This window comes from Homo sapiens, chromosome 16 (genome assembly GCF_000001405.40).
Source record: "Homo sapiens chromosome 16, GRCh38.p14 Primary Assembly".
In the NCBI taxonomy this organism is placed as follows: Eukaryota; Metazoa; Chordata; class Mammalia; order Primates; family Hominidae; genus Homo; species Homo sapiens.
Genome location: NC_000016.10, coordinates 1,126,206 through 1,151,239, shown reverse-complemented (window position 1 = coordinate 1,151,239; position 25,034 = coordinate 1,126,206). Strand labels below are relative to the sequence as shown.

Below are 25,034 nucleotides of genomic sequence, written 5' to 3'. Positions count from 1 at the left end.
AGGAGAATCACTTGAACCCAGGAGGCAGAGGTTGCAGTGAGCCGAGATCACGCCACTGCACTCCAGCCTGGGTGACAGAGTGGACTCTGCCTCAAAAAAATAATAAGTTAATTAATTAATTAATTAAAGCTAAGGCAAAGCCACAGACTGAAGCTCCAGATTCTAGCTGGGGGCTGTCGTTGATTTGCTGGACAAATGGTAGTTGAGGGTGGACAGTGCGCGGGGCCCGGTTGGAGGGTGGAGGTGCCTTGGCTGTGACCAGACAGACCCGGTTCTCATGCCTGCAGCTTCCGTCTTATGGGGAGGAGAAAACAGTTTCCAAACTAAGTGCCAGGGGGCGCCCAGATAGACGAGGGCGGGGCCTCTGTGAGGACAAGCCGGCAGCCGGAAGAGGAGCAGAGGCTCTTTCCAGCAGCAACGGCAGCCCATGCAAAGGCCCTGTGGCAGGCCGGAGGGAGCCGGGGAGCGGGAAGACCCAGAGGGCGCCTGGGAAGCATCTTGGAATTCTGAACACAGCAGCTGTTGCCCTCCCGGCCACACTCTGTCCTCCAGATGTCGGCAGAAGGGAAAAAGACCACGGACTTCTATAACAGACTTTTTTTTTTTTTTTTTTTTGAGACATAGTTTCGCTCTGTATCACAGGCTGGAGTGTAGTGGCGTGATCTCGGCTCACTGCAAACTCCGCCTCCTGGTGTCAGTTCAAGCGATTCTCCTGCCTCAGCCTCCCGTGTAGCTGGGATTACAGGCATGTAATTACCATGCCCAGCTAATTTTCATATTTTTAGAAGAGACGGGGTTTTGCCATGTTGGCCAGGCTGGTCTTGAACTCCTGACCTCGTGATCCGCCTGCCTCAGACTCTGAAAGTATGGGGATTACAGGCGTAAGTCACCGCGCCCGGCCCACAGATTTTTTTTAAAGAAAGTGTCTGTAATCTGAGAAAGCGTGCAGTCGCCAGGCATCCCACGGACAATTTGCAGACCAGTTGGAGCCTCTCCAGCACCCGGGCGGGCATTTTCCAGCTCAAGGTCTGGGACGGAGGCTGCCTCCCACCGCTTTCCGTTCACTCCAGCCCATCGGATGGCGTGCCCACCTTGTCCTTGGGGGCTCTGTGTCCCCTGGGCTGCTGCCCACTGACTTGCACGCTCCACGTCCGGCGGGACAGGTGCCCGCACGCCTGGAACATGGATGCTCCCTGCTCTGAACATCCATCTGCCGGAAGATGAGGCAGCTGAGGCCGCGTTCACGCAGCCGGAGCGGGGACCACCTCAACGCGACGTGAGGGCCTCCACCGAGAAAGGACATAAACGGCAGACGGTCCAGTGAGACGAGACGGGAAATCGTCCTGAGAGCGGTGATGCCGTGATGCGCGCCCTTCGCTGAGCGTCAGAGAGAAGCCCAGGACGGTTGGAAACCGGCATTGAGATGGTTTAATTCAACTCCAGAACGTTCAGATGTATTGTTTCTAATCCTCCAGGTCTCTGGAAAATTTGCTTCTGGTTTTCGCTGTTTCCTTTTTTCTTTTTTTGGCCGGGGTTGTTTTTAAGGGCAATGCTTTTCTTTGACAAAGAGCTGCGGGGAGAGAGTACAAGTGACCTCCTAGCTCAGCCATCATGTGGCGGAACCCAAGAAGGTGGGGTGGGCTTCTCGGGGTCTCCCACGGATTTCAGCATCCCCCACGCTGCCCAGGGGAAGGAGGACGTCGGCAGTGGGGCCCGGCATGGCAGCGATGGGACAGGCACGCCCTGACTGGTCCTCAGCTCCCTGTAGCAGTGGGGCCCGTGGCTGGTCTGCCAGAATCTGGACCAAGGGCTGGTGGACAGAGTCCTCTCCTGGCAAAGCCTGGAGAGCCAGCCGTGGCGGTCACTGCCTGGTGTCCAGTGAGACCCCTTCTCCCAGCCAGCTCTGGGTTCTGCTGCTACGTGTGGCCTGTGAGCCGGGGACCCAGGTCACCGCCACCAAGGAGGCTGCCCACGCGGCCAGGAAGCCAGGCCCCGGGAATATGCAGACAAGAGGGGCGTCCCTGCCTAGACTGGCCCCTGCAGGGATCGGCCTCCAGGGCAGGCAACAGGGCCTCTCACTGACACAGGCTCGGGCCCTGCCTGGCCAGAATGCTTCTTCCCTGGGAGCAGCCTCGGTGGGGCCCCATTGAGCCGCAGACTCAAGGGCAGGACGGAGCCCGGTAGGTCGCCCCGAAGCATGGCGGGCTCTCACCTTTGTCCTGCCATGGAGTCAGAGACACGAGACCCTGGAGTGGGGAGCAGGTGAGTGTCCTTTGCTCCTGCCTAGCATCCAGTAGGTGCCAATAAATACCTGCTGACTGGGTGGCTGAAGGGACTGCGCTGGCATCCCAAGGAATTTTGGGATCCACCACCCTCGAGACCGTGCTGGGCGGGAAGCATGACCCCACACTGTGGGATGGGGAGCCTGGTGGCTGCCGGCTGGCGCGCACCCCAAGCCCTTTCCTGGGCTCAGCTGTGAGCTCAGGACGGTTTAGACGCAGCAGCAATGATTTTAAGAGTTGCCGTGTTAAACGGTGATAGCCTGTGACGGTGCTGTGTGCGGAAACATCCGATTTTATTGCCGCTGGGTGGACAGCGCCGTCTAGACGCCGCTCACCCTTCTCACCTTCGCAGTTGTCTGTGTGGAAGACGGGAGAGGCAGGGGCACCACGCCACTGTCCCCAAGACCGGCCCCCAGGCACTGCGCGGAAGAGGCCGTGGCCTGTGAGGTGGCCCTTCCCTGCCCTGGACAGGCTGTGGAGGGGCTGCAGGCGGAGGCTGGGCTTGGGAGTGCTTGAAGGATCACTGGGCTGTGGAGGGGCCCGCAGGCCGCCTGGGGACCTGGGGAGGGAAGCTCCGGGCCTTTCTCTGGCTCTGCAGACGCACGGCCTGGGTTCAAATGCCAGCTCCACCACTTCCTGGCTGTGTGGCCTTGGACATGTGTCTTACCCTCTCTGAGCCTTAAATTTCCTTCTCTGGAAAATCAATGCTTCATCAAATAAAAAGTGATCATGAACAGGCAGTTCCTCAAATGATTAAATATGGAATTACCATGCAACCTGGCAATTTCTGTTCCGGGTGTGCCCAAGAGGAATGAAAATGTGTGTCCACACAGAACTGTGGACTCGGGTGTCCACAGCAGCATCGTTCACAAAAGCCAAAGGTGTAGACATCCCAAGTATCCCACAGATAAGCAGATAAAATGTGGCCTCTTCATATGGTGGAATATTATTCAGCCATGAAAAGGAATGACACAGCCGGGCGCGGTGGCTCACACCTGTAATCCCAGCACTTTGGGAGGCTGAGGCAGGCAGATCAGGAGGTTGGGAGTTTGAGACCGGCCTGATCAACATGATCAACACGGAGAAACTCTGTCTCTACTAAAAATACAAAAATTAGCCGGGCATGGTGGTGGGCGCCTGTAGTCCCAGCTACTCAGAAGGTTGAGGCAGGAGAATCGCTTGAACCCGGGAGGTGGGGCTTGCAGTGAGTAGAGATCACGCCGTTGCGCTCCAGCCTGGGCAACAGAGCAACATTCTGTCTCAAAAAAAATGACATTCTGACACACGTGGATGAACATTGAAGACATCACACCAAGTGAAATAAGCCAGACACAAAATGACAAACATCATAGGATCATTAGATGAGATTTTCAGCACAGGTAAATCCATAGAACAAAGAGGGGTGGCTGCCAAGGGCTGGGGGAGGGGGGGTGGGGGAGGGGAGACGTCTAGCAAGCAGAGGGTTTGTTTGGTTTGGATGTGTGGCCCCCCCTCCAAATCTCATGTTGAAACGTGACTTCCAGGGTTGGAAGTGGGCCTGGTGGGAGGTGTCTGCACCAGGGGCGGATTCCTCAGGAGTGGCTTGCTGCTGTCCAGTGATGATGAGTGCTTTCTTGCTCCAGTAGTTCACACAGCAGCTGGCACCTCCTCCTCTCCCTGGCACCCTCTCCCTCCATGTGACTTTTGGGTTCTCCTTCCTTTCTGCCATGATTGGAAGCTTCCTGAGGCCTCCCCAGAAGCAGATACCTGCGCTGTACTTCCTATACAGCCTGTAGGACCGTGAGCCAAATCAACTTCTTTTCTTTAGAGATCACCCAGTCCCAAGCATTCCTTTACAACAACACGAAACAGACTAACACAGAAAGGGGTTTATTTTAGGGCGGTGACAGTTGACACCACCATAAAAGCTGCAATCCAAGCTTTTATGGGGGCCAGGCAGGAAGATCATTTGAGCCCAAGAATTTGAGACCAGCCTGGGCAACATACTGAGACCCAACCCCGTCTCTACAAAAAAAAAAAAAAAAAAAATGAAATAAAATTAGCCAGGTGTGGTGGTGGTGCCTGTGATCTCAGCTACTCGAGAGGCTGAGGTAGGAGGATCACTTGACTCTGAGGGGTCGAGGCTGCAGTGAGTGGAGATTGTGCCACTGCACTCCAGCCTGGGCGACAGAGCGAGACCTGCAGAGACGGCTGCACCGCTGGGTGCACTGAAAACTCACCCATAAGTGGGTGAGCCGTCCGTCCGTGTGTGAGCTCCGCCTCAGGCTGTGAAAGCAGTCATGAAGGATGGGAGCCCGCACGTGACAAAGGCTCAGAAAGAGGGAGGCCATTTTTAACAGCTCCCTGTGGGGGCGGAGCCAGAGGGCGTGGCCTCATGGGAGGAGACAGAACCCAGGATGGAGCTGGGCTGGGGGAGCAGAGCCTTCAGCCTGTCCCTTGGGGTCCGCAGGATCTCGGAGGCCCTAGGGGTGGGGCTGCCTCTGGCCTGGGCCAAGGCCTTGAGGCCGGGGTGGACACGTCTGGTTCAGTCTCCTGGACCCAAATGTGTCAGGGAAGCCTCCTCCGAGGGCATGGGGGGCAGGGAGCTGAGTCTGGGGTGTGTGGGGGTGGGCAGAGGGCACGTGCCTGGCAGCACCCAACTCTGCCTGAGCTGCTGAATCCCCCGGATCACTGTGGAGTGGGAAGGAGGAGGGGTTGACCTGGGAGGGAAAGTGACAGGATGGGGTGAGCCCAGGCCGGGTGCTTCCAGACAGACTTCAAGGGGCCGTGGAAGGCGCAAAGCAGACATGGGTGCCCCTCTCCCCTGCTTGGTTCCCTCACCAGCCCCCAGCTCTGCACAGCCCCTCTGCTTGCAGGAAGGGCTGAGCTGGTGCAGAGTCACGGGGTCCTTTCTTAGGGAGTCCTCAAGAGGTAATGCAGCAGGTCCCCCAGATCCCAGGTCTGGCCACCAGACCACCCTCAACACCCCCACCTCGCCCTACCCCAGCCCAGGCCCAGCCCCGGGAGCTCCAAGGAGATCCACACAAGAGGAGCCCCTGAAACGTGGGTCTGCAGGCAGCCCCGGGTCCGTCACCCCTCCAACCCTCAGGTGCCGGGTGCCCCAGCTCTCGGCTCGGCCAGGCGAGGCCCTTGGAACCACAGATGACCACGCGTGGGCCTAGAGTGTGTGTTTTTGGGGGAATTTCACCCGGGGGCTCCTCAGAGAAGGTGCCAGGCCGCCCAGGGACATCTGAGGAACCAGCTGAGCCAGACCCGGGGCGGGGGCCTGTGCGGAGGGGCCGGGGTCAGGCACGGGGGGCGGCCCCCACACCGCAGCTTGCGTCACCTGGGAGAACTGGACAGGAGCCAGCTACGATCCCCAGGTGGCCAGTGGAGGGGCCGGCCCCGCACGCAGTGGCTGCAGAGAGAGGCTTGGCCCCAGCTGTGCAGCCAGGCACTCTGACTCCTGCTCCTTTTGTACTCACCCGGGAGGTTTTTCATCTTTACGGTTAACTGAGTTAAGTCGTCAACTGCCAATATTTAAACAGCCCCTCCCGAGGGAGGCCCCCTCCTGGCTGTGACAAAGGTTGGCATCCACAAAGGCCGCGTAGCTGCCCCGGGGATGGCCATGGGGGTGCCGGACGCCTGTGCCCCCGGGCTGCCCGAGGAGACCTCACGGGCTCTGGAGGCCGCGACCCGACAGCTCCGACAGCATTTATATAATTTATTGCAAATCATTTGTACCTTGTTTAATGCTCTGCTGATTCCACTTCATACCGGCTTCCTGGGCTTGCCGGCCAGGCCATGTCGCAGGCAGCTGACCGCATTCAGGGAGGGAGGGCTGACAGCAGGGTGCTGCCAGGCCAGGCAATCAGCCCACCAGAGCTGTAGTCCGGCCCTGAGCGCCAGACACCACTCTGGCTGTCCCTGCCCAGCTGCCTGCCCAAGCCTGTGCACCCCCACATGGCCGGCACCCCGGATCAGCACCTTCGTTCCCCGGGAGGCGGCACCGGACAGCAGGAAGCTGGCAGGACAGACACCTTCTCTCTGCTCCCGCTTCCCACAGCTAGGACACACAGGGACAACGAGGCCACCTGGGCCAGAGCTGGCCACAGCAGCACCTCAGGTGTGAGGGTGACGACAGGTCACTCTGGGAGCCTTGAAGAGAAGGCCTGTTCCTTCCATTCCGGCCCAGAAGTGGGGGCCGTGGTACTGGCCGTGGGGCCGAGACTCTGCAGCCCCAGCCTCGGGAGCCTTGGGGTTCCCAGCCCTTAAGGGTCTCCGGGGGCCTTGGCCACTTGGGGTGCCAGTGGCGGCCTCAGAGGGGACTCGGCAGGGTCTCGTGGCAGGCTGGGGCGGGACAGGGCAGAACAGGCCGGCCGGGGCCATTGTTGCGAGTCTTTTCTCTCCCCTCCCCGGCGCTTCCTGGAAGCCATTGTGTCCTGGAGGCTGGCGCAGGATGGGGTGTGCGGACCGATGGCAGGTGCAAGGCAGTCCAGCCGTGTGGCTTCACTCAGTGGACTCCAGGGCACAGGGGTCTTCTCTGGGTGAGTCACCCTTCCTGTACCCCAGGCCCGGCTGGGGCCTGGGCCACACTCTGATGGCCTTGGCCCCCGTCACCCATGTGGGATGAGGTCCAGGCCATCCTGGGTGGGGGTGTCTGAGCCCAAGTGACTCTGGTGATTCCTCTCATCCAGGCCCTGGAGGATGCCTGCAAGCCTCCAAAACCAGCCTTGCTCTACCCCAGGGAAATGGGGGCCGCCCGTCTCCCTGCCTGGCTGTCTGCCCGCCTGGCTACGATGTGTGCAAGGCTGGCCTCCCATCTCCCCGCCTGGCTGCGATGTGTGCAAGGCTGGCCTCCTGTCTCCCTGCCTGGCTGTGATGTGTGCAAGGCCGGCCTCCCGTCTCCCCGCCTGGCTGTCTAACCGCCTTGGCCTCCTGTCTCCCTGCCTGGCTGCGATGTGTGCAAGGCCGGCCTCTTTCTCTGGACGTGGTGCTTCAAGGTGCATCCTGGGAGTGTAGGTCAGCACTTCCTCTTCGGGGCTGAGGACTAGTCCACCCTGCAGATTCACTGCACAGAGTCTGTCCATTCTCGTGCATTCTTTGAAACAGTGCCATGTTGTGAGACACAACAAGCCGCACGTGTGTAAAGCGTGCAGTTCGATGAGCTTTGGCGCATGTGCACAGCTGCCAAGCCCTTGCTCCAGCTAGGATGACGAGCGTGTTCACCCCTCCATGCTGCGTGGCTGCATCAAGCGCCCTGATAATTTCCCCCCTCATTCCCTTTGGGCTTCAGACAGCAAGGGGAGGACAGAGGCTGTTGTTCCTTCCCTCTAGCGCTAGTAAATCAGCTTCATTTTTTAATTTCTTGTTTTTTGCTTTTGTTTTCTTTTTTTTGAGACGAAGTCTTGCTCTGTCACCCAGGCTGGAGGGCAGTGGCACGATCTTGGCTCACTACAACCTCCGCCTCCCAGGTTCACAGTGATTCTCCTGCCTCAGCCTCCCCAGCCGCTGGGATTACAAGCACTGCCACCACACCCAGATACCTTTTTTTTTTTTTTTTTTGTATTTTTAGTAGAGATGGGGTTTCACCATGTTGGCCAGGCTGGTCTCAAACTCCTAACCTCAGGTGATCCACCCGCCTAAGCCTCCCAAAGTGCTGGGATTACAGGTGCGAGCTGGTGTATCTGGCCCTAAATCAGTTTCTAATTGTTGTCAGAGGTGAAGGTAAAAGAAAACAGCAACTTTTTGCGGATCTAAGTGTTCTAGCAGCAGCAGTGGCAGTGAGGGGGGCGAGCATCTGTCGTGGAGCTGGCAGGGCCCCTCGCTCAGCGAGCCGGCCGCCGCCTGGGGTGCACGGACCCCTCGTATATCTGGTCTCTATCTTCGTGGGCTGCAGAGCTGCCTGCGGGACACACAGGATGCTCCTTGCTAAGTCAATCACGCCCACACCACCGTGGAGCCACCAGCTTGTGGCCCCTGGAGGGCCAGCGGGTGTTCCGTTCTTGCCTGGAGGGCGGGACTCCTGCCATGCTGTGCTGGCATTGGGAAGACTCCCCTCGCCCCACCATTAGTACGTCATTCCTTTAGGTTAAGTATTAAGTGTGGCCGACCTGGGCTCTTCTTTCTTTTCTTCTTCTTTCTTTCTTTTTTTTTTTTTTTTAAGACGGAGTCTTGCTGTGTTGCCAAGGCTGGAGTACAGTGGCATGATCTCGGCTCACTGCAAGCTCCACCTCCCGGGTTCATGCCATTCTCCCGCCTCAGCCTCCCGAGTAGCTGGGACGACAGGCACCTGCCACCATGCCCGGCTAATTTTTTGTATTTTTAGTAGAGACGGGGTTTCACTGTGTTAGCCAGGATGGTCTCGATCTCCTGACCTCGTGATCCGCCCACCTTGGCCTCCCAAAGTGCTGGGATTACAGGTGTGAGCCACCGCGCCCGGCCGCCTTTTTCTTTTTTTAAAGTCAGGCTCTTGTTCTGTCATCCAGGCTGGAGTCCAGTGGTGCAGTCACGGTTCACTGCAGCCTCGACCTCCTGGGCTCAAGTGATCCTCCCACCTCAGCCTCCTGAGTAGCTCCTGAGGACCACAGGCGCCCGCCACACTCAGTAATTTTCTCCATTTTTGTAGAGACGGGTCTCAATACGTTGCCCAGGCTTAGGTTCTTCCTTTCAAAAGCCACATCCTTCTAGGAGGGGCCGTGTACCACGCTGCAGCAGCCATGGCTGTTGCAGCATGAATGAATTTCTCAGGCCCTCTCCTGCCACTGACAGCAGAGAGCAGGGGTTCTGAGGAAGAGGATGGGACGGGGCGGCAGGTGCTTTCGGGGTCATCTGGGAGTGTGAGTGCCGTGGCGCAGGGCTGGGGTTGGAAAGTAAGGCTGCAGATCTCAGCAGCCTGCAGGCTGCCCCCAGCCCCGTACAGCCCCGCCCAGCCCCAGGGAGGCACGGCCTTAGCTCAGAGGGATGGGCTGGTGGAACCAGGGGGTTCAGGCCTGCAGGGGATGCTTTCAGAGCGTGAGGACTCAGGGGCAGCAGGGACGGGTGGGCTCTGCCAAGGGTCCAGCTGCAGTGGCCACGGTGAGTACAGGGCCCACTTGAAGGAGGACCTTGAAGTGGAGCTTGCTCTGGGATGAGCCTGCCCACTGCCAGGGTCTCAGGAGGGTATGGGGGCACCTGCACACCTGGGCCTGTGCTGGGTGTAGCCGGGGGCCCAGCCCGGGGCTGAGCCTTGGGCCTGTGCTGGAGGTTCAACCCCTTGGCCCTCCATTTGGGTCCTGAGCCCCCGTCCCAGGCACAGGCTGGGCGCTTGGGGAACAGGCAATGCTTGCTGGACAGGCCTTGTGGATGATGGGTGGGGGTGGACCCCTGGCCAGTCCCAGGGGTCAGTGTGGAGGCCCTGGGGACGATGACAGGATGTCCTCTTCAGGAACCCCCCCCCCCACCCGCCCTGCCTCCCTTGACCTTCCTCCAGCTCCTGCCCCTCCCCTGGTCAGAAAGCAGCTGCAGGCGACACAGATTTCTCCCCGGGAGATGCTGAAGCTTTAATTTTCCTGGATTTATAGCCTCTTCTGTGGCTTTATTACTGAGATAAGGACAGCAGAAAGGGCCCCCCTCCATCGGGCTGCTCGGGGATGTGGAATGGCTTGCAGATCAACAGCGGCACCTCTTGTTCTTGGGCAGGCATACTGGGTGACACCTGGGAGGGTCCCTGAGCATCTGCAGGCTTGGGCCAGTGGGGCAGGGTCTGTTGGCCCCCTTGATCGGCCCAACAGGCCTCAGGAGGGGCCAGGGCGGCAGAGGGGCCAAGGCGGTGGAGAGCCCGGTCCAGCCCCTGCCCACAGGTCCAAGGGTCCTGGCTGTCCTCACCCCCACTGGCCATCAGAGCCCGCCGTATCTGGGTGGGCTGAGGCTGCATTGTAAAGAGGACTCTGGAGTCACCCAGTCTGGGGATGCCAGGAAGGAGGATGCACCTTCCTGGGAGGTCCAGCATCCCACGTGAGCCCAGGACGTGCTGGCCGGGACCTGAGTGTCAGGCTCGAGAAGTGAGAAGCAGCCCCTGCTCTCAGACCCAGTGAGATGTCAGTAACCAGAGACAAGAGCCAGGCCAGGTGAGCCTGGGATGGGGAGACCCCGGACGTTCAGGCCGGATGCCCAGTGTTGGGGGGTGGCTCTTGACGTGGGGGCTGCGAGTGAGCAGCGTTTGGCGAAGGTGGGAGCTGGCGTGGGCGGCATGCAGGTGGGAGGCCTGAGTGCCGCCAGGAGAAGGAGGCGCCGGGCTGTCTGAGGGCAGCCGTCCCTGGGGGTCTCGGCCTCACACTCTGGCATGCGCGAGAGCCTTGAGCAATGGATTTGAGTCTCAGTGGTCAGGCCATGAGGGACAGTAGACAGCCCTGGAGTGGGAGAGTGGCAGGAGGGAAATAGGGTTTCAGAGACATTTGTGAGGTTCAAGTGGTTTAATGCACATGTGGGTGGAGCCTCAGAGTCTGAGGAGCAAGAATAGGACAGAAAAAGCAATTCAGAGCAAGGCCCTGGATTTCCCAAATGTGCGGGAAAGTCAGCATTTATGGATCCAAAAGGCTCAACCACCCCAAACCGGGATCGATACGGAGAAAACCACTCCCAGGCTCAACTCAGTCAAACCTCTGAAATCTAAAAATAAAGAGAAAATCTTGAAAGCAGAGAGCAAGAAAAGCTGCCTTACAGACACTGAAGGAGGAGGCTTCTCAGCAATCAGTGCTGGGGAAACCGGAATAACCCGGAATGAGCTGCCACCCCTGCCTCACGCCACACACACGCTCTTAACTGCCCACCAGAGGAAAACCAGCAAAGCTTCCATAGGAAATTAGAGGGGAATATCCGTGTGATCTTGGTGGAGACAAATATTTCTTAAAACACAGACTGAGCGCGGCGGCTCACACCTGTAATCCCAGCACTTTGGGAGGCCAATGCAGGTGGATCACCTGAGGTCAGGAGTTCGAGACCAGCCTAGCCAACATGGCGAAACCCCGTCTCTTCTAAAAATACAAAAATTAGCCGGGCGTGGTGGCCGATGCTGTAATCCCAGCTATTCGTTAGGCTCAGTCATGAGAATCGCTTGAACCTGGGAGGTGGAGGTTGTGGAGAGCTGACATCATGCCACTGCACTCCAGCCTGGGTGATAGAATGAGACTCTCTCAAACAAACAAACAAAAAAACACGAGACTCTCTCAAAACAACAACAACAACAAACAAACAAAAAAACCCCACAAAATCAAGCCAGGCACGGTGGGTCAGGCCTGGAATCCCAGCACTTCGGGAGGCCGAGGTGGGAGGATTCATTTAAGGTCAGGAGTTCAAGACCAGCCTGGCCAACATGGCGAAACTCCGTCTCTACTAGAAATACGAAAATTAGCTGGGTGTGGTGGTGCACACCTGTAATCCCAGCTACTCGGGAGGCTGAGGCAGAAGAATCGCTTGAACCCAGGAGGCGGAGGTTGCAGTGAGCCGAGATCACACCACTGCACTCCAGCCTGGGTGACAAAGTGAGACTCCTCTCAAAAAAAAAAAAAAAACTCAAAACGCAAGCCACAGATTGGGAGTTAATATTCACAGTGCAGATCCATGGCAAAGGGCTTGTACTCAGAATGTACCAAAAACTGCTGAAATTAAAAAAAAAAAATTCATTTGAGACAAGGTCTCCCACTGTTGCCCAGGCTGGAGTGCAGCGGTTCAAGCTCTGCTCCCAGCAGCCTCCACCTCCTGGACTCAAGTGATCCTCTTGCCTCTGCCTCCCAAAGTGCTGGGATTCCAGGCGTGAGCCACTGCACCTGGCCCTTTAAAATTAATATTAAAAAGACAACAACACAATTTGAAAATGGTCAGAAGACTGAAATAAATATGCCACCTAAGATTTACAGATGGCAAATAAGCACAGGAGCAAAACTGCACGTCACAGGTCATGAGGGGAGAACGCAGGGAAACCACAACTCAACGACCCTTCCTGCCTGTCGGAGGGGCTCAAGGGTGGGACGGTGGCACCACGCGTTGGTGAGGACGTGGGAAGCGGAGCTCTTGGCACGGCTGCTGGGAATGTGAAATGGTGCAACCACTTTGGAAAGCAGTTCGGCAGTTCCTTAAAGTGGTTTTTTGTTTTTGTTTTTGTTTTTGAGACGGAGTCTTGCTCTGTCGCCCAGGCTGGAGTGCAGTGGCGCGATCTCGGCTCACTGCAAGCTCCGCCTCCCGGGTTCACGCCATTCTCCTGCCTCAGCCTTCCGAGTAGGTGGGACTACAGGTGCCTGCCGCCACACCCGGCTAATTTTTTTGTATTTTTAGTAGAGATGGGGTTTCACCGTCTTAGCCAGGACGGTCTCAATCTCCTGACCTCATGATCTGCCTGCCTCGGCCTCCCAAAGTGCTGGGATTACAGGCATGAGCCACCGTGCCCAGCTTTGTTTTTGTTTTTGAGATTGAGTCTTGCTCTGTTGCCCAGGCTGGAGTGCAGTGGTGCGATCTCAGCTCACTGCAACCTCCGCCTCCCAGGTTCAAGCGATTCTCTGGCCTCAGCCTCCCCAGTAGCTGGGACTATAGGCGCCCGCAGCCAGACCTGACTAATTTTTGTATTTTTAGTAGAGATGGGTTTTCACCATGTTGGTCAGGTTATTCTCGAACCCCTGACCTCGTGATCCACCTGCCTTGGCCTCCCAAAGTGCTGGGATTCCTTAAAGTGTTAAATATGCTCCCACTGGCCAGACGCGGTGGCTCACGCCTGTAATCCCAGCACTTTGGGAGGCCGAGGCGAGTGGATCACCTGAGGTCAGGAATTCGAGACCAGCCTGGCTAACACGGTGAAACCCCGTCTCTACTAAAAATACAAAAATAAACCAGGTGTGGGGACGCGTGCCTGTAATCCCAGCTGCTGGGGAGGCTGAGGCAGATGAATTGCTTGAACCCAGGAGGCGGAGGCTGCAGTGAGCCGAGATCGCGCCACTGCACTCCAGCCTGGGTGACAGAGCAAAACTCTGTCTAAAAAAAAAAAATGTGTATTGGGTGCATGATCCCGTCTCTCTACGGGTAGGTGTTGACCCTGGATAAATGGAAGCATGTGTCACACGCTGTTCCCTACGTCAGTGCTCGTGGCAGCTTGACTTACAGTAGCCCCGAGCTGGAAACGGCCCACGTGTTCACCGACAGGAGAACAGCTAAACCACCGCGGACGTTCAGACCATGAGACATGACTCAACCGCACCAGGGATGAGTGAGCTGCGGACGCGGAAGTGCGGTGAATGTCAAGGCCATTGTGCCGGGTGGGAGAAGCCAGAGGAAAACAGCGCATGCGGCTGATCCCGCTCACACGCCATCCTGGGGCCTCGGATTCACCCACCGTGATGGAGAGCAGGGGGGCCGCTTCTGGGGGTGGGGTGGGGAGCGAGGGGCTCCAGCTTTCAGTGCAATGGACGTTTTCACTCTTGGTGGAGTGGTGGTTTCACAGGCATGTACATGCATCACACTTTATTTATTTTATTTTATTTTATTTTATTTTGAGAAGGAGTTTTGCTCTTATTGCCCAGGCTGGAGTGCAATGGCACCATCTTGGCTGACTGCAACCTGCGCCTCCCGGGTTCAAGCAATGCTCCTGCCTCAGCGTCCCGAGTAACTGGGATTACAGGCACCCGCCACCATGCCCAGCTAATATTTTGTATTTTTAGTAGAGATGGGGCTTCACCATGTTGATTAGGCTGGCCTTGAACTCCTGACCTCAGGTGATCCTGCCTGCCTCAGCCTCCCAAAGTGCTGGGATTATAGGCGTGAGCCACCGTGCCCGGCCCATACATCACACTTTTTTTTTGAAACAGAGTCTCGCTGTGTTGCCCAGGCTGGAGTGCAGTGGCGCGATCTCGGCCCGCTGCAAGCTCCGCCTCCCGGGTTCATGCCATTCTCCTCCCTCAGCCTCCCGAGTAGCTGGGACTACAGGCGCCCGCCACCACACCCAGCTAATTTTTTTGTATTTTTTTTAGTAGAGACAGGGTTTCACCGTGTTAGCCAGGATGGTCTCGATCTCCTGACCTCGTGATCCGCCCGCCTGGGCCTTCCCGGAGTGCTGGGATGACAGGCGTGAGCCACCACGCCCGGCTAATTTTTTTTTTATTTTTCTTTTAGTAGAGACGGGGTTTCACCGTGTTAGCCAGGATGGTCTCATCTCCTGACCTCGTGATCCGCCCGCCTCGGCCTCCCAGAGTGCTGGGATGACAGGCGTGAGCCACCGCACCCGACCACCAATTTCAATTTCAACAAAGAATAACAAGGGCAGATTTCAAGGCTTACCGCCAAGCCAAAGTCATGAAAACACCAGGGGAACAGACAAGGAGAGGAGGAGGCAGAACTAACGCTGGGCAGGCGTCCCCACACCCCCAGCAGAAGGGTCGCAGTGCAGGGACGTGGGAGAGCCAGGCCAGCAGGTGTCTGCACAGGTGACTCAACCACGTGTGGGGCCGACATGTACCAGTTCATAAGAGCCAGTGGTTAAATACCTAAGAAATGAGTGAGCTGCTTGTTAAACAGCTACAACTAAAAATTAAATCATATACACTTACAATTAGTGTTGAAGCTGGAAGAAGCTTCCGTTTCACGAATAGCACTTGTACCAGGGTGAGAAAGAGTTGAACAGTGGATCACAGATCAGATTTACGGATGACACACTTATCGGGGCAAGAATCGGCAGGTGGGGAGCAGCCTCGCGCTGTGGAGTCTCAGGCTGGCTGCAACGTTAAGAGTCGGGCCGAAGCAAGCCGAGGCGCCCGTCAGAACCCATCAGCCATGTGGGGTTTACGACAGAGCCCTATCCCATATTTTATGACTGTTTGTAAATCATGTGCTACACATGCCTTACCTCAGTAAAGCTTAACAATAAGCTGCTGCACGTCTACAAATGCGCACATTTATGCACCTGTGGGGGGCTCCCTCACGTGAAGGGTGAGAAGGGCAGCCGGCGAAAGGCAGGTGAAGTCCAGGGTTTCCGCTCCTGGGAATTTAAACACCCCTGAAGCCCCACCATGGGGGCCTAGACCTTGGAGGGGGTGCACGGTTAGTACGGTTGTTTTCCGTACTTTTCAATATATTTAAAAGATCTTAGAGGCTGGACGCAGGGGCTGACACCTGTCATCCCAGCACCTCGGCAGGTGGAGGCAGGAGGAGTGTTTGAAGCCAGGAGTTCGAGACCAGTCTGGGCAACAAAGCAAGATCCCATCTCAATAATAATAATAATAATAAATAATAATAATATTAGCCAGGCATGGTGGCCTGCACCTGTGGGCCCAGCTCCTTGGGTGGCTGAGGTGGGAGGATTAATTGAACCCAGGAGGTGGAGGCTTCGGTGAGCTGTGATTACGCCACTGCACTCCAGCCTGGATGACACAGTGAGACCTTGGCTCAAAAAAAAAAAAAAAAAAAAAAAAGGAAAAGAGAAAAAGAAAAGAAAAAAACCAATTTTGAACAGAAATAAGTCTTGGCTCTCAGGGCCCCCCTCTGTGGCCCAGCCTCACCCCAGGGAAGGTTTCATCCAGCTCCGGCCCTGATTACGAAAACAGGAACCCTGCGAATAATTCGGGTGATCCCAGGCCCCGGGGTCAGGGCAGACCGTGGAGTGAGCTGCGGAGAACGGTTCTCTCGTGTTTCTAGTCAATGGAGTCCTTGGGACCTAGAGGGGACCTAGGGCTGGGACCCCGGCTCACCTGCCCTGCCCAGCCGTCTGTGTGTGGGGCAGCCGTGCTGGGCGGGGGTCTCACAGGTCAAGGATAGGGGGGCGGAGCTGCGATGGGTCCACGCCAGGAGCCCCCGCCTCCAGGCACCCCCCACCCCAATCCCCCAGGCTGCCCCGACGTCAGGCGGGGAGGCAGAGTGCCAGCTTGGCCCCAACAGCTGTGGTGGAGAATCGATTGGCTATAATTGGGACTTGGAAGGGGTTTAATATTTAACTGGATTAAATATTTAAACAGAAGGAGTTGATGGAGCACGGCGGCCAGGGAGGCGGCGGGGACGGGCCCTGAAATTGGGAGGAGGGATGCCAGTGTGGGGCACCCGGGCCCTGCCTACCGGGCATACAGCAGGTGCTCCCCAACCTCCCTTCAGAGGGGCGGGCTTGAGGGGAGGACTTCATTCTCTGTCTCTGTGTGCAGGTGGCAGCGGGGCTGGCTCACTCAAAGTTCTTGGTCAGAGTCCATGGATGGATTGGGAGGGTGTGGCCCCTGAATTTGGAGCCGAGATGGCGGGAGAGGCTGGGGCTTCCTTCTGGGGAGGGTCCAGACCTTAGTCAGCTCCTCAGAGACACCATCCCTCACCGTGCTCTCCCAAGGAGAAGATGAGCCACCAGCCCCTTCTCATCCTCCCTCACACACCTGGGAATGGTGCATCTTTGGCCCCCGGAGAGGGCTGGGGGTGGGGGCTCTCCTAGAATTTCCAGATGGCAGCCACCGCCCCACCCACCTTCCCCAAAAGTGTTCCTGAGCGGACTCCTAGAGGGACGCAGAGCGGGGTGGGGTGGGGTGGGGCAGGTGCCTGGTCCCCCTGCCCTCCGTGATCCCTGAAGACCCCGCCCAGCAGGGCTTCTGCCCACACACTGAGGGGAGGCAATGCCCGTCCTGGGCCTAGGATGCCCCGTGCTCTCAGCCAAGTCCCTCCCAGCGTGGCCTGGCCGGCTCTGCCATGGTAGGCTGTGTGGTGTCAGGAACCCCTCGGGGGCCCTGCAGTCCTGGTGTCCTGCGTCCCCACTCCAACTGCCTGGCAGGCGGGCCCTCGTGACCATGGGGTCCCTGGGGTGTTTGCTCTGGGTCTCCCTGTGGGGTGGCTTCTGGCACAGAGCCCCCAGGGCTGGGGTGAGTCGGCTCTGCAGAGTATCAGCCTGGAGGAAGTAAGAGGTGAGCAGGCCTCCCGATGTCTTGCCGGCCCCAGGAACGGGAGACAGAACCCACACGCAGGCCAGGCCCGTGGCTGCCTTCCAGGTGGACCCAGCGCTTCCTGAGGCCTCCTGTGTCTGGAGGCCCTGGGCTGGCCCTCAGGGCGTGACCAGGGCTGGAGGAGAAACAGGGCAGGGAGGAAGAAACCTCAAGACAGCGGGAGCCCGAGCCTCACGGACGCTCTGACAGCCCCACCGTCGCGGGGACCAGGCACCCCCGGCCCTGGCCTCTCTGGGCCGCTCAGAGGTGATCTGGGTCTGAGGCATGATGGCCTTCCTGCCTGCGTGACCTGGGCAGGTGTCCTTACCTCCTGAGCCTTGGTCTCCTCACCTGTGACAGGGGTGTAGTCATTGTTCCTGTGCAGAGGGTGGCCACGGCTGTGAGACACGGGAACCGTGTGCCTGGCTGAGACCTGGGTGCCTGGCGTGTCCACGCCTTGGTTATCTCTGGAGGCCTTCCTGCCGGAGGACAGACAGAGGGAAGCTGGGCAGAGCCCGGGAAGGAGCGAGGCCCTGCGGTTGGGGGTCTTCCCATCCCACCCCCAGGGAACACCCAGCAGGTAAGGTGCGTTTGGACAACCCGGTTTCGCGCTAGCAGGCCCGCAGGGCTGGGGGAAGCCGCAAGCCTCCCAGGGGACCACGCCTCTGGTTTGGTGTCCTGGCAGCACAGCCGCCGTCCAGGGCCACAGGGACAGCAGAGGTGGGGGCCTGTGGCCTGGAAGGTGCAGGACGGGGTCTCCTCTCTGCTAGACTGGACTGGCCCTCACTCCCTTCACCTGGGGGTGGACGCAGGCCTGGGAAGGGGGACGCAGAGGGGACCCGGGCAGTGTGAAGCCTGTTACTCGGACCTTCTTGTGTTTTGTAAGCAAGAGTGGAACGGTCAGCTCCCCCAGCACCCAGAGGCCAGCCCGAGTCCCTGTCCAGGCCGCCGAGGCCTCCGCCCTGGTCTGTCTCCCAGCAGCACCCCTGGCCCAGCCTGCCTGGGCCTGCTCTGAGCCAAGCCTGGAGGGGCGGCCGTTGCCCTTGGGGCTTCAGGGGCTTAGGTGGACCCACCAGGCTGGGTTCCCTGGGGGCCTTCCTGGGCAGACGCTGGTCCCACTGGGAGGGTAGAGCTAGTGGTGGACACAGCGTCTGTCCCAGCCGTGGGCCAACAGGAGGTGAGCCCCAGAATGTGCTAGAAGGTGTTAACCTCGTGTGGCCGTGCACATGGGGCAGTGGGTGCTGTGGTCCTGCAGGCGTGGCTGAGCATGTGGGCCCACAGACCCCATGGGGACCCCACGCAGATCCCAGGCAGATCACATGCAGCCCCCACATGGCATCCCATGTGCCCCCAAGCGCCCCCTCCTAGCCTCCACATGCAGACCAAGTGGCTCCCACACGGCCCCACTAAGCCCCAACACCCCCCACCAAATCCCCACTGAGTCCCCTCTGCGTCTCCCGGCCCCAGCCTGGCCTCCGCCCCTCGCTGGCTAGTCAGTTCCCGGCAGCAGACGCTCCCCCAGGACGGGTTCCTAATGAATTGTTTGATCTCACGCCCCTGTTTGATCAGAGGAGGGAGCTGCTCTGGAAATAAGCAGGTGGCCCCAGACCCGGCGGTTCTGCCCCACGGGGAGCAGGAGGGGACACGAGGTGGTCCCAGTGCTGGGGGGTTTTGTCCTGGTGGGGTGGGGAGCCTGGGGAGGGGCACAGCAGCAGCATGTGGGCTGTGGGCTGTTCTCTCTGTGGGCTGTGCCTTCTCTTGCAAACCAGTCCTGATCTGTCACCTGCGGAGGGGTGGGCGGTGGACCCCCCAGAACGTGAGCACACCCTGCAGCTGGAGCCTGTGGAGGCGACATTCTTGGGAAAAGGATCTTTGCAGACGCGGCCTAGTCAAGGACTAGGCCCAGGTGGGACCGTCCACATGGGCCTTCGCTCCCACACTGGCGTCCTCAGAAGTCAGAGCAGAGATCAGAGCCCAGGACGCCAGGAGCCCTCCGGAGCTGGAAGAGGCAGGAAGGGACCTCCCCTGCGGCCTCCGGAAGGCATGCGGCCGTGCCCACACCCGACGCTGGACTTCTGGCCTCCAGCACTGGGAGAGAGGATGCTTCTGCTGTTTGACACCCCCCGGGGGTGGCATTGTGTCACCGGAGCCCCAGGAACCCAACACATCGCCCGAGCTTCCAGTCACGGGCCGAGCGCAGAGCTTTCCCGACCAGCAGCCACAGCCCTGCTCGTGGGCCCCAGCAGGGCCAAGGGAGGCCCCGAAGCCTGTCCAGGTGTGCACAGGGGGGTCCTAGCACTTGGACCCTCACCTGGGACGTGTGCCTTCTCTTGTGTGGGACACCGTCCCTAGGCCTGGAAGGAAGGTGGGGACCCAGCGCCCGGAGACACCTGGATTTCTGCACTGGAAGGTGGCGTGTCGCTCCTGCCCAAGGGGAAGCACGCCAAGGGCACGCGCAAGGGCAGGAGAGGCCAGGGACGGGCCGGCGCACGGGCAGGAGAGGCCAGGGACGGGCCAGCGCCCGGGCAGGAGAGGCCAGGGACCGGCCGGCGCACGGGCAGGAGAGGCCAGGGACCGGTTGGCGGCCAGTCAGCAGAGGCCAGGAATGGGCTCAGGGGGCGTGGGTGGGAGTCTGGGGATCTCCGTGCCGCAGCCTGGTCTGGGGGCTGCAGGCTGGGTGGGCTGCCCCATGGGTACCTCACCCCCAGGAAGGCTTTTCTGCAGCCGCTAGCTCAGGCAGGCCCAGGCCTGGGGAAGACCCGAGGGGCATATTTGTCCAGGCTGCCTAGGCCTCAGAGCTTCCTTGGAGCCGGGCTCTGGGAACATGACAGGGACCTGGCCCCAGGTTCCCACAAGGCAGTGGGCAGGCGGCCCGGACAGCAGTCTCGGTCTTGGGATCGATACTGAAGTCTCTGGAGCCAGGAACAGCCCCATGCCAGGAAGAGGGTGTTGCTGGGTATGGTGGACCAGGGGCGGGCACAAGGGTAGCTCATCCCCTGACCCCCACCCACACTGCGTCCCCGGTCCACCCCCACCCCCACACTACATCTGGCCCCTGGGACTCCCACCCCCACTGTGCCCTGTCCACCCCACCTCCACTGCATCTGGCCCCTGGCTTTCCCCCGCCACTGCACCCCCGGCCCCCCCCCACTGCATCCCTGCTCCCCCACCCTCACTGCACCCCCGGCCCCCCACTGCATCTGGCCCCCGGCCCCCCCCACCCCCACTGCACCCTCCGGCCCCCCCCACTGCATCTGCCCCCGGCCTACCCAGGGGAGCCTCACCCAGCTTGGAGGATGATTTAGGTGCAGACAGCAAGAGAGGGGCCAGGCACTTTGGGAAGGAGCTGACGTGCACCGGGCCCCCTCTGCCGTCCCCATCCGCTGTCTTTCCCAGGGCCTGCCTGGTGTGGGGCTGGGGGACACATCCACAGGTGGGCCCAGGAAAGCCTCCTGGGTGCTGGTGGCCTGGGGGGGCAGCATTATCGGGGTGATGGATAAACTGGGGGTCAAAGGTCATTGCAGTGTGACCTGGGAGTGGGGCCACCCATCACTCAGGCCTCAGAGGAGAGGGATGCAGGGGCCTGAGGCAGTGCTTGCCCCGGGGACCTTCTGGCCCCTCAGCCATAGCCTTCCCCGGCCCTCGCCAGATGGACCCCAGACCACACCCTTGGTCTTTCTCCCCCAGCCTCCTGGGCAGCCTCTGGGGGTCTCTGAGGAGCCTGGCCTGGCCCCAGCTCTCACGAAGTGAAGGCGTCCCCAGCCTCCACATGGGTTGTCCCTTGGGAGGGTGCACAGCCCAGGAGGGACGGCTGTGGCCACCGCAGGCCCTGAGGCACCTCGGGCGGGCTAGGGGCCTGGAGGACAGGGGCAGGGGTCCCTGAGGGCCCTCCATCCATTTGTTCATATTAAATGAGCTGTGCCTCTGGCCCCCAGGAAACACCATCCAGTGCCGCAGGGAATGGGCAAAGCTGTCCCCTGAGGCAGAGGCGAGCTCGCGGGGAGTTGGGGGCAGGGCCAGCCCTTTCCCAGGGGCGCAAGCAGAGTTGGGCAGGGCGTGCAGCCTGGAGGAAGGCGGGGGCAGGATGAGACAGGGACCCCAGGTGCATTGGAGTGAGGCTCCCAGTCCACCGGCACGTAATGTGCGCTCACGGGTGCTGGGCCCTGGGCTAGCTGCCGGGGTCTGCCCTCTCCACAGCGGCCGCAGGGGCCCCGGGGCATGGTGGGCGAGGCAGAACCCAGCAAGGAGACACACACCAGCTGGGAGCCCTCCACGCACACCGTCTTCAGCCCGCACGATGGCGCAGACGCCCCAGCAGCGAGGCACGAGGCCCCCGGGGTTCACCTGAGGGTGAAGCACGCTACCCGCCTTGTGGACTCAGCCGGAGCCTGGGGTGGGGGGCTGCAAACAGCCGCTGTGCAGGTACCAGCAGGGGCGGCAGCCCGCACGGAGCGGGGGCAAGCAGAGGGAGGGGAGTCTGAAGTGCAGGAAGGCTGAGTGTCCCTGGGTGTATCTGCCGGTCTCCCGGAAGCAGATCCTCCCGGAAGCAGATCCTCCCGGAAGCAGATCCTGACTCAGTACAGCCTTCCCAGGAAAACCCCGCAGCAGGGGCAGGCCCGGGCGGAGGGCGGCCAGGCTGGGTGCGAGGGCCACAGAGGAGGCCCCAGAGCGGTGGGCACGGGCCTCCCCACGTGTCTGTTCAGGAGGGAGCTGGGATATTTAGACCCCACCCCAGTGGTCCCTGGCTAGGGCCCTCAGCGCCCTGGGGCTCACCATGCGGGCACAGGAGGTTTGGGGAAGGCCCCGGGCACTACCCTGCTAATGAGCGACGTGTCCCCAGTCCCGCCCGGCCTCCTCGGGGCAGGCAGGCACACCAAGGCTTCAGGACTGTGGGGTTCAGTCCTCACCCCCGCCCCGCAAACAGGCTGGAGGTGGACTTGGCATGGTGTGGCCTGGGCAGCCTGATCCCAAAGTAAAACATTCGGCTTCCGGGGCTGCTGCCTTGAAAGGCAAATATCACCTCTGTTTCCAAAACTCGCCTCTTTGGGCCGGGAGGCGTCTGTGCAGGATCCCTGGGCCGGGTAACTGTCCCGTCCTCCCACATCCACTGTGCCCGTCCCCCGATGAGCCAGGCCAGGGCATCTCATCTGCTGCTGCTGCGTGGAGGACCCCAGAAGTCAGGGCGTGGCCCCCACTGCCCGTGTTATGGGTGAAGAAATGCAGGCTCAGACCCAGAGGCCCTGGAGGACCTTGGAAAAGGCTGGTTCTAGGGGTCAGCCTGGGCTCCCTGGGGTCTGCCCAAGGACCCCAGGCTCTCAGGAGGGGCCCTATGGGAGACCAGGGAGGGACACAGCGGCCTACTTGGAGGGTGTTTCCAGAGCCGTGTCCCCACCCCTCATCCTCACAGTCAGAACCCGCAAGAAACTGATGCCCAGGCTACGGCGAGGCTGGGACGTGGGGCCTGGTCACCACGGGTGAGGCTAGAACACGTGGACGGAGAGCCACGCACCTCGGCAGGGGCCCCCCAGGACCCAGAGCCCGGCGACACTGATGGCTCCCATGGACAGCAGTGGGGATGGGGGTGTCCTGGGGACACGGGGGCCGCCTGGGGCGCCTCTCATCCCATCGTCTTCCTTCCTGCGCTCTCCCAAGTCCTTATCAACACCTCCTCTATTGTCTTGTCCGGTCCCTCCCCCCACCTGAATCGGGCCATTCCGGAGCGTTCCCTGCACCCTGCCCAGCCGTTCTCGCATTCAGTAGGTGCTCAGAGTGTGCGGTGTGGCCCAGGAATGAACACCCCCTCCAGCCCCAGGACCCCCAACTGTCACTCCCCACCCTGCTCAGCTCAGCGCCTCCTCTTCCAGGAAGCCTTCCTGGACTGGGAGAACTGTGGTGCTCTAGTGAGCGGCAACTCCAAGGGTCCTGGTGACGTTCTCATGCTGGATGCTCAGATGTTCCGCCGAAGAGGTGCAGGACAGCAGGGGGGTTCCCGGCAAAGCCCACAGCACTTTCTCAAATAAGATGGAGGGGTCCCCAGGCAAGTGTCAGATCTGCAAAGCCTATCGTGGGTCCTTTTGTCACCAGGGCCTGGTGCTGCTGCCCACCCGAGACTGGAAGATGTGGCTTCCTCCTAATCAGCAAGACCCATATGGAGACACACCACCCTAACTGCAGAACTGCCCGGACCCCCACACGCACCTGTGCCTTCTCCAGGCTGGAGGGAGGGGCTTCTGGAGGGTCATGCCTGCTGTGCAGGGTCCCTCAGGGGCATCTGTCCCAGGCTGGCCTCAGGAAGGGTCCTGGGCATCGAGGGGCCCTACAGGCTGTCTCCCGACCCTGGGCTGAGCCACTGCCCCTGCCAACCTCCTGGGCAAAACGAGGGGGTCCTGGGAGGGCACCTGGGCCCTGCAGTAGGGAACGGGGGTCCATCAGGGTGATCCCCACAGCCCCCAGCTGCCTCTGCTCCGGGTTCCAGTGGACACCTGAGATTCCGGGGCTAAGCCTGGATGCAGTGGACGTCAGACCCCGCCCCAGCTCCATCCACACGGGAGGGTGGTGCGTCCCCACCTCAGTAGAGGGCACAGAGGCTCAGGATCTGAGAACCAACCACTGCCTGGGCCCAGCACAGGCCCTCACCCCCCACCCTACAGACGGGGCCACAGGGTCTCAGGAGGACAGGGCCGGGCGCCTCCTCGATCAGGGGACACAGGGCTCTCGGGGCTGAGAAGGCCACTTCGATCGCTTTGGGAGGAGGAGGGAAACGCTGGACTCTGTGCCCCGTCCAGGTGGGACGACAGCAGGGGGCCTCGGACTGCAGTGGGGGCTGGAGGTGGGACGACAGCAGAGGGCCTCAGACTGCAGTGGGGGCTACAGGAGGGCGCCCAGGGCCGTGGAAGTTAAGGGAGGGGAGGCCCTGGTGTGGTGGGGCTTCTGCTGGGCCCTGGAGCTTCGGTTGGGCCTGGAGCTCGGCTCTGTCCCTGGAGCTGGGTGGCGCGGGGTCTCTGTCCAGCTTTATCTGTGGGAAGCAGAGCTGAGGAACGGCCCCTCCCCGAGCCTGCTGAGCTTGCTGGTGGCCTGTCCCAAGAAAGCTGGAGCAGCCCTGCACCCTTCATGTCCGCCTCCTCCTGAAGATGGGGTGGCCCCGTCTGCACTGGCCTCAGGCCACCCCCTGCACAGGGAGCTCAGGCTACCCTGTGCCTTTGCCCTCGCCATCCCCTCCCCATGCAGCCCATTCCCCCTCCTCGGGGACCTTCGGGCACCTTCCCCAGGGCCTCCGCTACCTGGCTCAGGACGGCCCCACCCCCAATGCCTGGCCGCCTCCTTCCCTGCCCTGAACCAGTCCCTGGGGTCTGTCACCAGATTTACGTCCCCAGCTCTCTCCTGCAGGGCTTTCTGCCTACTCTGTCCCCACAGTGTCTTCACCATCCAGACTGGCTGCAGAGGGGCCCGGAGCCCTGAAGGGGAGGGGGGAGGGTGGTGGGGGGAGGGCGGGGGGAGGGCCCTGAGCCCCTCTGGGAGGGGGAGCAAGTGGGGCTGTGGGGCTGCAGAGGCCTCTGCAGAGATGAAACAGCAAAGGGACTCCAGGTGGGTGAGTCCTGGGTGGGGAGAGGGCTCCTCGGTCCCCAGAGCCCCCTCCGGACAGCAGGCGGTGGGGAGAGGGGCAGGGGCCTCTCAGTTCCAGCTCTGGCCCGGCCGTATGATTGCAGGTGGCTCTCAGCACCTGGGCCTCCCTCACCAGGTGACCATGGAGTCGGTTCCAGCACCGGGGAGCTGGAGCCCGAGGGCCCCTCAGCCTCTGCTGCAATGTCACTGATGTCTCACTGGGAGCCTCCCCTCGCCCAGGTCTGCCTCGGATCACTCATCACAC

General features: G+C 60.4%; 1 long non-coding RNA gene across 3 annotated transcripts, besides 12 other annotated features; it reads left to right on the top strand.

Annotated features, from left to right (window-relative positions):
• Window positions 5,477–6,291: an enhancer, noted in NCBI's record as "H3K27ac-H3K4me1 hESC enhancer chr16:1194949-1195763 (GRCh37/hg19 assembly coordinates)". NCBI's record gives its function as "activates a minimal SCP1, AML or CMV promoter by ChIP-STARR-seq in naive H9 embryonic stem cells {active_cell/tissue: H9 hESC(naive)}" and the evidence as "EXISTENCE:reporter gene assay evidence [ECO:0000049][PMID:30033119]".
• Window positions 6,292–7,108: an enhancer, noted in NCBI's record as "H3K27ac-H3K4me1 hESC enhancer chr16:1194132-1194948 (GRCh37/hg19 assembly coordinates)". NCBI's record gives its function as "activates a minimal SCP1, AML or CMV promoter by ChIP-STARR-seq in naive H9 embryonic stem cells {active_cell/tissue: H9 hESC(naive)}" and the evidence as "EXISTENCE:reporter gene assay evidence [ECO:0000049][PMID:30033119]".
• Window positions 12,731–13,231: an enhancer, noted in NCBI's record as "H3K4me1 hESC enhancer chr16:1188009-1188509 (GRCh37/hg19 assembly coordinates)". NCBI's record gives its function as "activates a minimal SCP1, AML or CMV promoter by ChIP-STARR-seq in primed H9 embryonic stem cells {active_cell/tissue: H9 hESC(primed)}" and the evidence as "EXISTENCE:reporter gene assay evidence [ECO:0000049][PMID:30033119]".
• Window positions 16,939–24,616, top strand: LOC105371042 (uncharacterized). 3 transcript variants are annotated; one of them, XR_932993.2, is made up of 4 exons: window positions 16,939–17,434; window positions 17,528–17,747; window positions 23,032–23,134; window positions 23,252–24,616. It is a non-coding gene; the product is annotated as an uncharacterized LOC105371042 (long non-coding RNA). The 3 variants fall into 3 exon arrangements; XR_932992.2 differs by having other exon boundaries at window positions 17,528–17,752; XR_932994.2 differs by lacking the exons at window positions 16,939–17,434; window positions 17,528–17,747 and adding an exon at window positions 21,933–22,923.
• Window positions 22,210–25,025: a meiotic recombination region, noted in NCBI's record as "MboII-BspHI interval". NCBI's record gives the evidence for it as "EXISTENCE:polymerase chain reaction evidence [ECO:0000082][PMID:10767349]".
• Window positions 22,210–25,034: part of a biological region, named in NCBI's record as "16p subtelomeric meiotic recombination hotspot", that runs on past the window's edge.
• Window positions 22,508–22,523: a nucleotide motif, noted in NCBI's record as "nucleotide motif; similarity to the predicted 16-mer PRDM9 C binding motif, CCNCNNTNNNCNTNNC".
• Window positions 22,737–22,749: a nucleotide motif, noted in NCBI's record as "nucleotide motif; similarity to the predicted 13-mer PRDM9 A binding motif (LD hotspot motif), CCNCCNTNNCCNC".
• Window positions 22,756–22,768: a nucleotide motif, noted in NCBI's record as "nucleotide motif; similarity to the predicted 13-mer PRDM9 A binding motif (LD hotspot motif), CCNCCNTNNCCNC".
• Window positions 23,220–23,235: a nucleotide motif, noted in NCBI's record as "nucleotide motif; similarity to the predicted 16-mer PRDM9 C binding motif, CCNCNNTNNNCNTNNC".
• Window positions 23,565–25,034: part of a meiotic recombination region, noted in NCBI's record as "meiotic double-strand break mapped by DNA meiotic recombinase 1 chromatin immunoprecipitation followed by single-stranded DNA enrichment and sequencing in the germ cells of some male individuals with the PRDM9 A/A, PRDM9 A/B and PRDM9 A/C genotypes", that runs on past the window's edge. NCBI's record gives the evidence for it as "EXISTENCE:chromatin immunoprecipitation-seq evidence [ECO:0000229][PMID:25395542]".
• Window positions 24,632–24,644: a nucleotide motif, noted in NCBI's record as "nucleotide motif; similarity to the predicted 13-mer PRDM9 A binding motif (LD hotspot motif), CCNCCNTNNCCNC".
• Window positions 24,646–24,658: a nucleotide motif, noted in NCBI's record as "nucleotide motif; similarity to the predicted 13-mer PRDM9 A binding motif (LD hotspot motif), CCNCCNTNNCCNC".